Source organism: Homo sapiens, chromosome 3 (genome assembly GCF_000001405.40).
Source record: "Homo sapiens chromosome 3, GRCh38.p14 Primary Assembly".
Taxonomy (NCBI): domain Eukaryota; kingdom Metazoa; phylum Chordata; class Mammalia; order Primates; family Hominidae; genus Homo; species Homo sapiens.
In genome coordinates this window covers 80,822,620-80,836,917 of record NC_000003.12, presented here as the reverse complement: position 1 = coordinate 80,836,917, position 14,298 = coordinate 80,822,620, and the positions used below count along the sequence as shown (strand labels likewise).

Genomic DNA, 14,298 nt, shown 5'->3' with positions numbered 1-14,298 from the left:
AGCAATCTTTTCTGTCAGTTCATTTATAAATTGAAATTTTATAAATATAACCCATCTTCTAATCATTAATAAGTATCAATTAAACTGACATCATAAGAATTAAAGTAAGACATTTCAAGTAAACAAAAGCTTATATATTCTCTTTAGACTATATTTGGCTTTATCCCTTCAAACTTATAAGGATTCAACTTTTTTTTTAAATCTTGATTTACGCCTTAGAGAACAAAGCATAAGCCAAAGATAATTCATTGACCTGACAAAAACTGCAGCAAAAAGAGAAAAAAGTCAATGGGATTTGGTGATCGTTTATCACTCATGGTGACTGGGTTTATCTCTGGGCAAAAATCAATAATGTTGAGGAAAAAAAATCTCAGATGGAAGAATGCACTGAATGTCTACTAGTTAATGTATCCATCTGCTTTTCTTTTACTTCTTTTTTTTTAATCTAGTGTGTTATCCTTAATGAAGCCCTAATGTCTTTATATATGAATAATGCAGTTTATCTTTGAATAATGACAGAAATAAAATGAAAAAATGAAAATAAATTTCCCATCAAGTCACCCATATATCTAGTCATATTTATATTAGTAAGTTAAATTAGACAAGATATTTTATTGTTTTAAATACTGTTGAATCTCAGAATTAGAGCTTTGTTCATAAAATTATAGGTCAATTGGATCTTAATAAAACTTTTCATTAGTCTTTATTCTGATGATAATTATTCAAAATATAAAGAATATAAATTGTTACTGCACATTTAGTCATGGAGCTTTGATTAAGATCATTCTGCTTTTACCCTATAAGATAAAATTCTCACATTCTCTTAAAATTTTTTTAACATGTATATGTACTATATAAAAAAGGGAGCATCAACAGTTATGGACCAACCTTAATGTGCTGGGTAATATTTGCATGACATAAAATATGTTTTTCTTTCAGTTACTTCACAGTTTTGGAGCTGGTCACACCTAGGATTGTGCCTGAAAGAATTTTTTCTTAAGTAACTTAATACTTTCAGTTTTTATATGTGTAAACAGGTAATGATGATTATAATATATTGATTCCCTCATAAATGCCATATACTAGTATCAATAGTTTGCATATAATACATTATTCAATGCATACAAACCATTATGAATTAGACACTAATATATTATCTAATTTGCAAGTGAGAAATTTGGTGGACCAGGTCCAAATTTCTATCTTACCTCGTATTTTCAAACCACTCCAGAATGTACATCCCAAGTGTTAGATAGGCAGCCAATAGAAGTGGCTGCTTAACCTCTAAATTTAAAAAGAAAAAAAAACCAATAAAATAACTAGAGAATGTGAGTAGTTGTACCAGTATTAAGGTTACAAACCTTGTTAGAAACTGTGAAGAGTGTGATATTTTACCCTACTTGCAAGATACCAAGTTATCTTGCCACTGTTATGTACAAGCCAGTAGAAGGCACAATATTTATGAGTTAAAGATGAGGGATAGTTTATTGGTCACAGCAACAGGAATAGTCAGAGTAACAGCTTTTTTGGTCAGTTCCTCAAGTCTCAATTTGCATAGGGTGTCAGCAAATAGACTAAGTGATACCTGCACACACAGCGCATTACAGGAGAGGAATCTGTGTTTAGGAAACCTACATTTTAAAATAATAGGTAATATACATATCAATCCTTTGATATGACAGGATAAATGATTCCTATTTTTAAATGCTGTTGTAGGAAAATCATTTGAAAGACAGCTTAATACAAAGGATAGACAGTGCTTTTCTTCAGAAAGTATATAAAAACATGAGAGACCTATAGGAAATTGTTTCCCAACAATCCCTTTTCCAGTTCCCTAATATGAGCCAAATTTCAGATCTAAATCTGAAATTAGAACCCATTGCCTGAAGTGCTGGCCAAGTCCCCAAGAGAAAGTCCCCTTTTGTAACACATGTAATGTTACAAAACTATGGTAAGTTATACCAGGATGGTTCCCAGAGTCTTTCTGGAAAAGGACCTAAAACTGTTTACTAAGATTACTGTCCACTGGGAGAAATATCTCAAAAGCCTAACATTTCTAGGACTAATAAGTTTACTTTGATACACAAAAAATTTTGGCCCACTTGTTAAGATAGGGGCCTACAGAGGCTGGATAATAAATGGAATCTTTGCTAAAGTTTGACTTACAATATGTTCACAGATTCTGTGGGCTTATTCAGTGGTCATTTACTCTGTGAGTAAGTACCTAATTTGAAGTAATGTACTTGAAATTAGGAGTAAGTTACTCACTGATCTGTATTGGAGGAGTTATCATAGAGAAGAAAGACAAAAGGAAACCTCTTAAAATATCATCCACCACTGCCGGTCAATAAACTAAAAACAATATAGTATACTCACTGGGAATAAGGGAAGGTAGTGCTAACCACAGATACCAGATGCCTTCTGGAGAATTATGTTAGCTTACCATAATATTAAATGAGTAGTAGCTTTGATCACAACTGCTGTGCCAGATGTAATATCTTTACCACAGCAGATTAATAACACCCATGATTAGTCATTTGACATTGATTTAGAAAATGTATTATTTTTCACTCCATTACAACGGAGGATCAAAAATAGTTTTTTTAACCGAAAATGGATTCAATATTTTATTTAAAGTTTTGCATTGGGGTTATATCAACTGTCCTATTCTGCATTATAATATGCAGTAGAGATCTAGACTTCTGGATATCCTATAGAACATTACACTGATTCATTATTTTAAAGACTTGATGTTTGGTTTATACCAAAAAGGAGACGATGTTTGGTTTATACTAAAAAGTATTTGAAACAGGTCTCAAGTAATTTAGAGGTTTATTTTGCTGAGGTTAAGGATCATGACCCATGACACAGCCGCAGGAGGTCCTGAGAATATGTGTCCAAGGTGGTTGAGTTACATCTTGGTATTGTACATTTTAGGGAGACAGAAGTTACAGTCAAAGATATAAATCAATATGTGTAAGGTACACATTGGTTTTGCCCGGAAAGGTGGAGCATTTTGAAGCAGATACTTCCGGGTCATAGGTGAATTCAAGGATTTCCTGAGTGGCAAATTGCTGATTTAAGCTCTTCCTGAAGAGTTTGTCAGCTTGAGTTAAGATAAGTGGGGGTTGTGGAAGCCAATGTTCTTGTCATGTATATAAAGCCTCCAGGTAGCAGGCTTCAGAGAGATTAGATGGTGAATATCTCTTATCGACCTTAAAATGTGTCAGACTCTCCAGAAAAGAACTAGTAAGGGAAGGAGATTCTCTATAGAATGAAAATTCACCTTCCTCCCCACGAAGAGATAGCTTTGCAGAGCCATTTCAATATATGTTAAAGAAATATATTTTGAAGTAAAATATTTTGAGTTCCTTCAGGGCCTGCTATATGTCACGTGATGCTATACCAGAGTCAAGTTGGAATTTGGCTCTTTTTTTTTTTTTTTTGAGACGGAGTCTTGCTCTGTCGCCCAGGCTGGAGTGCAGTGGCGTGATCTCTGCTCACTGCAAGCTCCACCTCCCGGGTTCATGCCATTCTCCTGCCTCAGCCTCCAGAGTAGCTGGGACTGCAGGCGCCCGTCACCACGCCTGGCTAATTTTGTTTTTGTATTTTTAGTAGAGACGGGGTTTCACCGTGTTAGCCAGGATGGTCTCGATCTCCTGACCTCGTGATCTGCCTGCCTCGGCCTCCCAAAGTGCTGGGATTACAGGCGTGAGCCACCGCGCCCAGCCAATTTTTTATATTTTTAGTAGAGACAGGGTTTCACCATGTCAGCCAGGATGGGATCTGGCATCTTATTGCTACTAAGAGTCTGTTTTGTGAGTCTTAAGATCTCTGTTTTAACGGTAATGCTGGACTAAACTACAAAGAGAGGAGGGTATAATGAGGCCATCCCTTCCCATCACGGCCTGAACTAGTTTTTCAGGTTTAGATGGGATCCCCTTGGCCAAGATGGTGGCCCATTTAGTCTGTTGAGGGGTCCAGAATTTTATCATTGGTTCGTATCTGCTACAATGAGCAAGAAGTGGTTAGTACACTCGGTATTCTTAACATATGTGTTCCCAAGTGTGGGAGACAAACCTTTTGTAGGTCAAGATGTAGCCAGTGGGCTGATTTAGGTTCTTAACTTCACCGCACAAAAGAATTTGAGCGTGAGTCCAAAGTAAAAGTAAGCAAGAGAGTTTATTGTAAACCAAAAATACACTCACAGCTGATCAGAGTAGGATGCTTAAAGGTGAGGCAGCCCCATCTGATGCTGACGGATTTCCCTTTATGGGAGATTTATATGGTTATTCATAAAGAGGTGGAAAGGAGTGTTGCTATTAAGTATGTTATGGGTGATTTCTTAGGCCTGCATGTGCAGTGACTGTGCATGCTAGTACATACATCACATGTCTCATTAATATTTTAAATCTCCACACCGGGTTGTGTTTTTACTATTATAATAAGCATAGGTCAGCCCAAGGACACTAATCATGGGTTTCTGTGCTTGCGCAAATTTGGGGATTTTCCCTTTTGCTCCCCTACCTCCTTTCTGCAGGATGTTCTAACCTTGAGCCAGGATGCTGTCTGCGCACTGTCTGGTGGTTTGTTCTCTTCATCAATTGATAAGTTTCTTGTTTCTTGTCAAGGAAGGCTATGACCACCCTATCTAACCTACCTCACAGAGACTGGACATTGTAATGAATTTTTAGGTTCCCAGTGGTTAGGGGTTGCTGGGACATCCTTCACAAAGTTAAAAACAACTTGCCTCATCTTGCGTCTACTAACACTTACCCAACCCCGCCAACCCTAACCACACACCTAATATCTGATGGATAGGCCTTTTCAAGTTCTAGAACAAACATATTTCAAATCCCAGAAATAGCGCTTCATCCTCTACTGGGTGAAGTCTGCCTGCTTTGACTGGGATCCAGAGAAGAAAATGACACCACAGCAAGTCAAGGTTGTGCTACAGTTAGCCCTGCAACTTGAGCCATGTGATCTAGCAGACCACATGAGGTTTGATGTGTCTGTGATGAGAGAAGACTCAGAATGGACATTACGGCAAGTTTCAGTGGAAATATCACAGTGTCGGATATTCTAGAACAAGTTTCTGCCATTCAGAGCAGAGACTTATACCGTTTAAGTGATGGTTTCTGTCCGGGCGCAGTGGTTCACGCCTGTAATCCCAGCAGGTTACACCAAGGCGGGTGGATCATTTGAGATCAGGAGTTTGAGACCAGCCTGACCAACATGGTGAAACCCCCTCTTTACTAAAAATACAAAAAAAATTAGCTGGGTGCGGTGGCAGGTTTCTGTAATTCCAGCTACTCAGAGGCTGAGGCAGGAAAATCACTTGAACTGGGGAGGTGGAGGTTGCAGTGAGCCGAGACTGTGCCACTGCGCTCCAGCCTGGGTGACAAGAGCAAAACTCTGTCTCAAAAAAAAAAAAAAAAAAGTCACTCAATGAACTAAAAGTAGAAGAGAACTACCTCCATCTGATAAAGGCCTCTACAAATGACCCACAACTAACATCATGTTGAATGTGGAAAACATAAATGCTTTCTCCCTCAGATGAGGACACCACTTCTATTCAACTTTCTACTACATGTTCTAGCAGGAGAATTAGGTAAGAAAAATAAATAAAAACCATCTACAATTGAAATTAATAAATAATCATATTTCTATTAGCAGATGGCATAATCTTATATAGAGAAAATCCTAATTAATCAACAAATACATTATTAGACTATATAAATAATTTCACCAAGGTTGCCTCATACAAGACCGATTATCAAAATGTTGATTGTATTCTTATGAATACACCTACGATCAATGATCCAAAAGTCAAATTAAGAAAATAATTCCTTTTACATGTTTCAAAAAATCATAAAATATTTAGAATAAATTTAATAAAATGAGTGTAATTCTTATACACTGGGTGCTACAAAACTTAATTCAAAGAAATTAACACATTGAAAAAGAACTGCATGCGTGGAAAGACATCCCACGTTTGCATAGCCTATGTTTGTTGACTTATTATTGTTACGATAAGAATACGTTTTTTTTTTTTTGAGACAGAGTTTCACTCTTGTTGCCCTGGGTGGAGTGCAATGGCATGATCTCAGTTCACCACAACCTCCACCTCCCAGGTTCAAGTGATTCTCCTGCCTCAGCCTCCCAAGTAGCTGGGATTACAGGCATGTGCCACCACACCCGGCTAATTTTGTACTTTTAGTAGAGATGGGGTTTCTCCATGTTGGTTAGGCTGGTCTGGAGCTCCCAATCTCAGGTGATCCGCCTGCCTCAGCCTCCCAAAGTTCTGGGATAACAGGTGTGAACCACCGTGCCTGGCCCAGGAACACTTTTTAAATTGACCTATAGATTCACCACAATCTCTATAAAATCCTAGTTGGATTTTTGCAGAAATTGACATACTGATCCTAAAATTAACATGAAATATTAAACTCAAGAGACTCAGAATTTCAAAAAAAATTTTAAAAGAGGAATAAATTTGGGAAACTCACATCTCCCAATTTCAAAGCTACAGTAATCGAGACAGTGTTATACTGTCATTAAGGTAGACCTGTAGATGAATGGAATAGAATTTGCAGTCCAGAAATAAAGACATACATTTATGGTTAACTGATATTCAGCAAAGAAATCAAAACATTTCAGTGAAGAAGGAAAAGTTTTTCAACAGATGCTGCTGGGACGACTGTATATCTACCTGTAAAATAATGCAATTGAACCCCTACTTCTCACCATGTGCAAAAATTTACTAAAAATGGAACAAAAGGCCAAGTATAGGATACAAAACTATGAAAATACTAGAGAAAAATCTAGGGGTGAATCTATATCACCTTATATTGGACTGCAGTTTTTAAGATGGGACGTTAAAAGGCACATACAATAAAGGAAAAAGTAGATAAGTTGGGTTTAATCAAAATATAAACCTGTGCTTCCAAAGAAAAAAAATAAATAAAATGAAGAGACAAAACACATAATAGAAGATGTTAGCCTATCATACATCTTAAAGAACTTGTATCTAGAACCTATTAATATTCTCTCAACTTAGTAATAAAAAGACAAAAACCTGGCCGGGCGCGGTGGCTCACGCCTGTAATCCCAGCACTTTGGGAGGCCGAGGTGGGTGGATCACGAGGTCAGGAGATCGAGACCATCCTGGATAACAAGGTGCAATCCAGTCTCCACTAAAAGATACAAAAAAATTAGCCGGGCGTGGTGGTGGGTGCCTGTAGTCCCAGCTACTTGGGAGGCTGAAGCAGGAGAATGGCGTGAACCCGGGAGGCGGAGTTTGAAGTGAGCCGAGATGGCGCCACTGCACTCCAGCCTGGGTGACAGAGCGAAACTCCGTCTAAAAAAAAAAAAAAAAAAGACAAAAACCCAATTTTAAAACTGGGCGAACAACCTGAATAGACATTTCTCCAAAGAAGATATACAGCAGTAGCTAATAACCACTTACAAGACTTTTAACATGCATGCTACAACATGGATGAACCTTGACAATGTTATGATAAGTAAAAGAAGCCATTTATAAATGAGCACATATAATATGATTCAATTCATATGAAATGTCTAGAACATGGAAATTTATGGAGACAATGATTGAATAGGTTTGTGGTATATGAGGGAGTGATGAGGAATGACTGCTAAGTGGTTTGGGTTTCTTTTTGGAGGTGATGAATATTGATTGATTGTGGTGATGGTCGCACAACTCAATGAATGCACTAAAAACCACTGAATTGTATTATTTAAATGAGTGAAATATATATTATGTGACTTATTTCTCAATAAAACTTTTACAAAAAAACATGAAGAATGAAAGAAAGGAAAAAGAATAAGAAACAGCTCTTAGTAGAACTTGTAGAGGCAGCACAGTTGAATATGGGACACCAAATGTTGTGGATTGTATTGTTTCTTCAAGAAGATATATTGAAGTCCAAACTCTGGTTCCTGTAAATGCAACCTTATTTGGAAATAGGATCTTGCAAATGTACCTCAGGCAATAGGAGGAGATACTCTACAACCAGCTGAAACAGGTGGAGAAAGCCAAAAGTTGGTTTATGAATGAATAATCCCAAGTACATGCAAGCTTAAAATGGATGGCAATTAACATTACAGCCTCCTTCAGATATGACTCTGAAAGTTAATGGGAAACAAAAATCTTTCAAGTGGGTATAGCTGTGAGCATTCTACCTGGTCTTCCTCTTGGTTTAGAAGGATGTGTCCAAGTGTGAGAATACAGACAGATTGCTTGGCAGTGACTAATGGCTGGACCTTTACTCAGGAGTCTGGCAAGGGAGGGATTGGAATACTGGAAATAAGGAGGTCTGTATTAGTCAGGGATCTCCAGAGGGACATAACCAATAGGAGGGTTGTGTGTGTGTGTGTGTGTGTGTGTGTGTGTATGTGTGTGCATGTATATACACAATTACAAAAGTGAAGTCTCATGATAGGCTCTCTGCAAGATGGGGAATGAGACAATTCAGCAGAGAGAAAGCCAGGTAACACAACAAACTGAATGATCATTTTTCACTTGCTTTGTTCTAGCTGTGCATGTGGACAGCTGATTGGATGGTGCCCACACACATTGAGAGTGGGTCCTCCTCTCCCAGTCCACTGACTCACACACATCAGTTTCCTCTGGAGACACATCCAGAAACAATAGTTTATCAGCCATCTAGGCATCCCTCAATGGAGTTCAGTTAACACTTAATATTAACCATCACAAGATCTGAAGTGGTCGTGTCAATGGACATATGGAAGTGGAAAAAAAATAAGATTTTTATGTATTAGTGCCCAACAGAAAGCATTCTTTACAGGAGAAGCAAGTAGATAGGTAAATAGAAAAAATGATTGGGCCAGTGGAGGTTAATCAACCTTCATCACTGACTTCCTTAGAACAGGCATAGTGACCAAATGAATGTGATGACCATTGTGGCAGAGAAAGATGCCCAACTAAATGGACTTCCATTTACCAAATAGAAGGCTGATTTAGCTATTGTTACCTCTTAATGCCCAACTCCTCATCAGCAGAGATTAGCATTGAGGCCCTGATCCAGTACTGTTCCTCAAGAAGAATAAGCCACTTGCAAGCAAGCTGATGAAATTGACTCCTTCCACTCACCAGGGTTTTATTTTTATGTGGATGTTGGTTTACCCTTTCTGCCTGAAGGCCCTCAGTTACCATCGTTTTCCAGGGGCTTACCAAATGCCTGATCTCCAGGTATGGAATTCCATACTACAAAATACCCAGCCAAGGAAACCACTTTACATCAAATAAAGTGGTAGTAAACCTATGGCCATAATATTTACTGGTCATATTACCTTAGTATATCATCTAGAGGCAAAGAACCTCTTTGAAACTCTAACAGCCTTTTATATGTGTAGAGGAAACACAACTCAGAAGAAACAGGATAAAACAATGAGGTTACCTTTTAGGGTGTAGTGTATGTATTGAATAAGGCAATTCTATATTGTGCTACGTCATAGCAAGATTATGAATCTGGGAACCAAAGGATTCAACAGGAATAGTTCCACTTAATATTACTTCCATTGACCCAATGAAGAATATTGTATTTCTTGTCCACAAAACTCTGGAATGCACAGGTTTGGAATTTCTGATCTCCAAAAAGGATAAACTTTTACTAGGGAAGAAAACTAAGGGTACCATGGAATACAAGATAGAGGTGCTTTCATAGTCTAACAGGATTTCTTACGCATATAAAGCCAAGAATACTATATCGGTGAGGTATTTGACCCTAATCAGCAGGAGGCAGGGAGAATGTACATGGAACTCAGGTGATTTATGTAAGCACCCACTAGTATTTCTTCCACCAGTGTAAGTGTGAAAAAAGGACAGGTAGCAACTTAAGATTAAGAAGGATATCATTATCACCTGGCACGGTGGCTCACGCCTCTAATCCCCGCACTTTGGGAGGCCGAGGTGGGTGGATCACCAGGTCAGGAGATCGAGACCGTCCTGGCTAACACGTGAAACCCCATCTCTACTAAAAATACAAAAAATTAGCCTGGCGTGGTGGTGGGCACCTGTGGTCCTAGCTACTCGGGAGGCTGAGGCAGAAGAATGGCGTAAACCCGGGAGGCGGAGCTTGCAGTGAGCCGAGATCACGCCACTGCACTCCAGCCTGGGTGACAGAGCGAGACGCCATCTCACCAAAAAAAAAAAAAAAAAAAAAAAAAGAAAAGAAAAAAGAAGGATATCATCAATGATTCAGATAATTCAGGAATAAAGGTAAAGATCACAAAACAGGTAAGCCACCAAGACACCCAAGAGAGCATGAGAAAAATGTAAAATCAATAGGGAAATTTAAAATAGAGAAAGAAGAGAATCGGTTATGGTCTGATGATCAAGTGTAGCAACAGAGTTTGAAGTTCATCCTACCAACTCCTCCTGAGTTTCACACTGGGAGGAAAGACCCACAGGAACCATGGAGAATTTGCTCCCCAAATCTATAATAAATTTATATTTGCACAGCACAAATGGTGAACTATGGTAGTTATAAAAATGTATGCCATAGATTTCCAACCACAGGGAACATAATTTATCAAGCACTTCAGTTTCTGTAGTCTGAAATCTATGTTCACTCCTTCACTGAGAACACATTTCCTCTTCAACTGCTTCTGGCAGATGGCTGGTTATAGCTTATAGCTTGTGTCCTAGGGCAAGTCCATTCCTTGGAGGCACAGGTTTCATCTGCTGAGCGACCTCTGGTTGAGAAATCCCTGATGACCTCGTTAAAATTTCCGTAGACAGTATGAATATTTAACTCTCTTCCACCCATCCATCTCCTTCGCTCTATTCTTTATTCAGGGTCAGACTTGCATGGTGAGATGCCTACTCTTCAAGCTCCTTTCTACCTATTTCTTTCACATGTTCTCTCATAATACAAACTCATGCATATTAATCAAGTCTTGGCATCTGCTAACCAGAGGACCTGGATTAAGACAGTAATTATTACTAGTGGGTGTTAAGTGGATACTAGGTTGCCTGTCTTTTTGAAAAAAACACTGACTCAAGAACAAGAAATATATGTCTGCATTTTACTTCGATGGTTTCTAAACTGTTTTCCATGTAATTATAAAATTATTGATCCCATTGTCAGTTACAGATTTCTTAAATTCTTATAATTTCTGGTACAGCAGTTGACAGGGCTGCAATTTCTCTAACCATGCTTAGGTATCTCAATGAACATATCTTCCTCTAACCACCCACACATTCTTTATATTTATATCCATGCTCATGTGAGATATTAGTTTATAATATTAATTTAATATCTATATCTCATTTATATTTCAGGGTGATGTTGGCCTCATATAACTCAACTTTATAGAATTCTCTGTGAAGTATTATTTCTTCTTTAAATCTTTGGTAGAAATCATCAGTGAAGCCATCTGAGTCTTGACTTTTATTTGTGGAAATTTGATAAATTTGTGTTTAACCTCAAATTTAATTTACTTAATAGGTATATGGATATTTGAGTCATCTATTTCTTATCAAGTAAGTGTTGGAAGTTTATATCTTTCAAAAACATGCATTTCTTTTAAAATCAAATATATTAGCATAAAGTTGTTCATAATATTAACTTATTTTTTTCCTAATATCTGTAGGAGCAGTATTGATGTCCCCTCTTTCATTCTTGACATTGGTAATTTATATCTTCTGTAGCCTTTTTGCCTGATCCTTGCCACTAGAGTTTTATCAATTTTATTAACTTTATTTAAAAAAACAGCTTATGGTGTAATTAAATTTCTGTATTCTTTCTCTTCTTCTGCTTTTTTGTAACTTGCTCTTTTTTAAAAATTATTACAGTGGAAGATGACATTGATTCAAGGTCTTCTTTCTTTTTCAATATAAACATTTAGTGCTATCAATTTTCTCTTAAGAACTGCCTTACATACCTTAAAACACAACTTTTGACATCTGTATTTTTATTTTGTTATCTTCAAAATGCTGTCTAATTTTTTTTCTTGATTTTTCCTTTGGCCTATCAGTTATTTGAAAGTATGCAGTTTAGTTTCAAGGGATTACAGCATTTCAAGGTATCTTTATATTTTTTGATCTCCATTTTAATAATATTGCTTTCAAAGAATATACTTTGTATATTATTCAACCCTTAAAATGAATTTACACTTGTTCGTAGCTCAGAGTGTGATAAGTGCACCTGAAAATACTGAATATTGTACTACTTTTCAGTAAAATGTTTTATAAATGTAATTTAGGTCAAGTTCAAGTGTTTCATACATAGAGTTTCTGTCTAACATTCTATTAATTATTGAGAGTGAAGTGCTGAAACATCCAATCTTTAAGAATTTGCCTAATTTTGTTTTTCACATGTCAGTTTTTGTTCCATTTATTTTGAAATACTTTTATTAGGTACCTGATTATTTAGAAATTTTGTTTATACTTGTTTCAGTCAGTTTGGGATGCTATAACAAATATACCATAGACTGTGTGGCTTAAAAAAAAAACAAGTATTTATTTCTCATAATTCTGGAGACTGGGATACCTAATACTAAGGTTTAGTTTCGAGAGATTCGAGTATTTCCAGAAATCTTTATATTTTTTGATTTCCACTTTAATAACATTGTTGTCAAATTACATACTTTGTGTAACATACACCTCTAAAATGAATTTACACTTGTTTGTAGCCCAGAGTGTGAACTACCTTAGTATATTAGTGCACATGAAAATACTGAATATTGTACAGCCTGTAAATCTACATTATAGACTGTGTGGCTTAAACAACAAGTATTTACTTCTCATAATTGTGAAGACTGGGATGCTCAATATCAAGGTGCCCAGAGACCTGCTGTCTGGTGAAAACTCACTTCCTAATTTGCAGTTGGCTGTTTTCTTTTTGCCTCATCAAATGACAGACAGCAGAGAGAAAGAGAAGGAGAGCAGTTTTCAACATATTAATTTTAGGAGAATACAAACATGTAGTCAATAAAATTCTTCTCCTAGCTCACCAAATACATGTTTTTCTCAAATGCAAAATACAATCATTTTATCCCAATAGCCCTGAAACACTTAACTCTTTCCATCAACAACTCTAAAATACAAAGGCCAAAGTCTCATCTAAATATTATGTAAATCAGTTATAGGTGAGATTTGAGGTAAAACTTATCTAAAAGTTAAATTGCTTTATAGCTGTGAATCTGTGAAAACAAACAAGTTATGTGCTTCCAAAATACAGGAGTGTGAAAGGCATAAGATAGATATTCCCATTCCAAAAGGGAGAAATAAAAAAGAAGAAAGGAATGACGGGTCTCAAGCAAGTCCCAAACATACACAGTCAAACTCTACCAAGTCTTATCTGAGAATAGTTTTATTTCTCCTGATGCTCTGCCTTCTAGACCCACTGGGGGAATGGTCCTACCTGCATCGTTTTAAAGGGTAGGTGTCCTGCACCTGCAGATCTCAGTGGCACTGGTGCTACCTTTTGAAACTCAGGTGGAGACAGCCTCATGATCTAACTACCTCCCAAAGACCTAAACTCTTAATACCATCATATTGTGAGTTAGTATTTCAACATATGATTTTGGGGGAACACAGCCATTCAGTCCATAATCGTTGTCTTATTGAATTGACACTGTTATGATTCTTAAATGACATCTTTATCTCAGGTTATATTTGTTCTAAAATTTACTTCTGAGTACTGGATTAGAAACATTTGCATGAGTTCTGATGAACCTAAACACTCTGAATTCCGAAGTCCCATCAAACCTCCTCCAGCAGAAACAGCAGGTAACAATCTCATTTAAGAAAGATTAGATGCCAGAATTTTTCTGGAGGTTTTAAAGGAACAGATACATTGATGTTCCTTATTCCTGAGTGTTTATTGGTTTGTTCACTGATGAGAGTCCCTGGGAATGCTCAAGAGCACTGGGAACCATAATCTCCCTGAGTTCTTTATGAGAACTCAGAGGAGTTGATAGCATTGACGTCTCTGCAAAGATTCCCTTTTGGTCATCCTCAGAGGAGTCCCTAAAGTGTAAGTTTCTTCTGGCAGAGAGTGGGTCTTCAATGCAGGTGAATATGTTATGACAACAAAATGTACCGAATGTCCACTCTGTGCAAAGCACAGTGCTACAAAGTACAATTGATTAAAGATGCCTGTTTTACAGAGTCCAGTCTTCATAGACTCTATGAATAAGCTCAACTGTACTCATTAATAAGATTTAATGCAAGGCAGAATGAGGAAAGACCTTGAATGGGGGCTCAGGTAGGAAGAGGAGTGGGATCGATTCTAACTGACTATCATGGAG

The 14,298-nt window shown here is 37.2% G+C and overlaps 1 long non-coding RNA gene across 1 annotated transcript; it reads left to right on the top strand.

Moving 5' to 3' along the window:
- Window positions 1–11,490: 11,490 nt before the first annotated feature.
- LOC105377174 (uncharacterized) lies at window positions 11,491–13,743 on the top strand. Its single transcript, XR_940983.3, has 4 exons — window positions 11,491–11,527; window positions 11,638–11,675; window positions 12,022–12,069; window positions 13,657–13,743. It is a non-coding gene; the product is annotated as an uncharacterized LOC105377174 (long non-coding RNA).
- The last annotated feature ends 555 nt before the right edge of the window (window positions 13,744–14,298 follow it).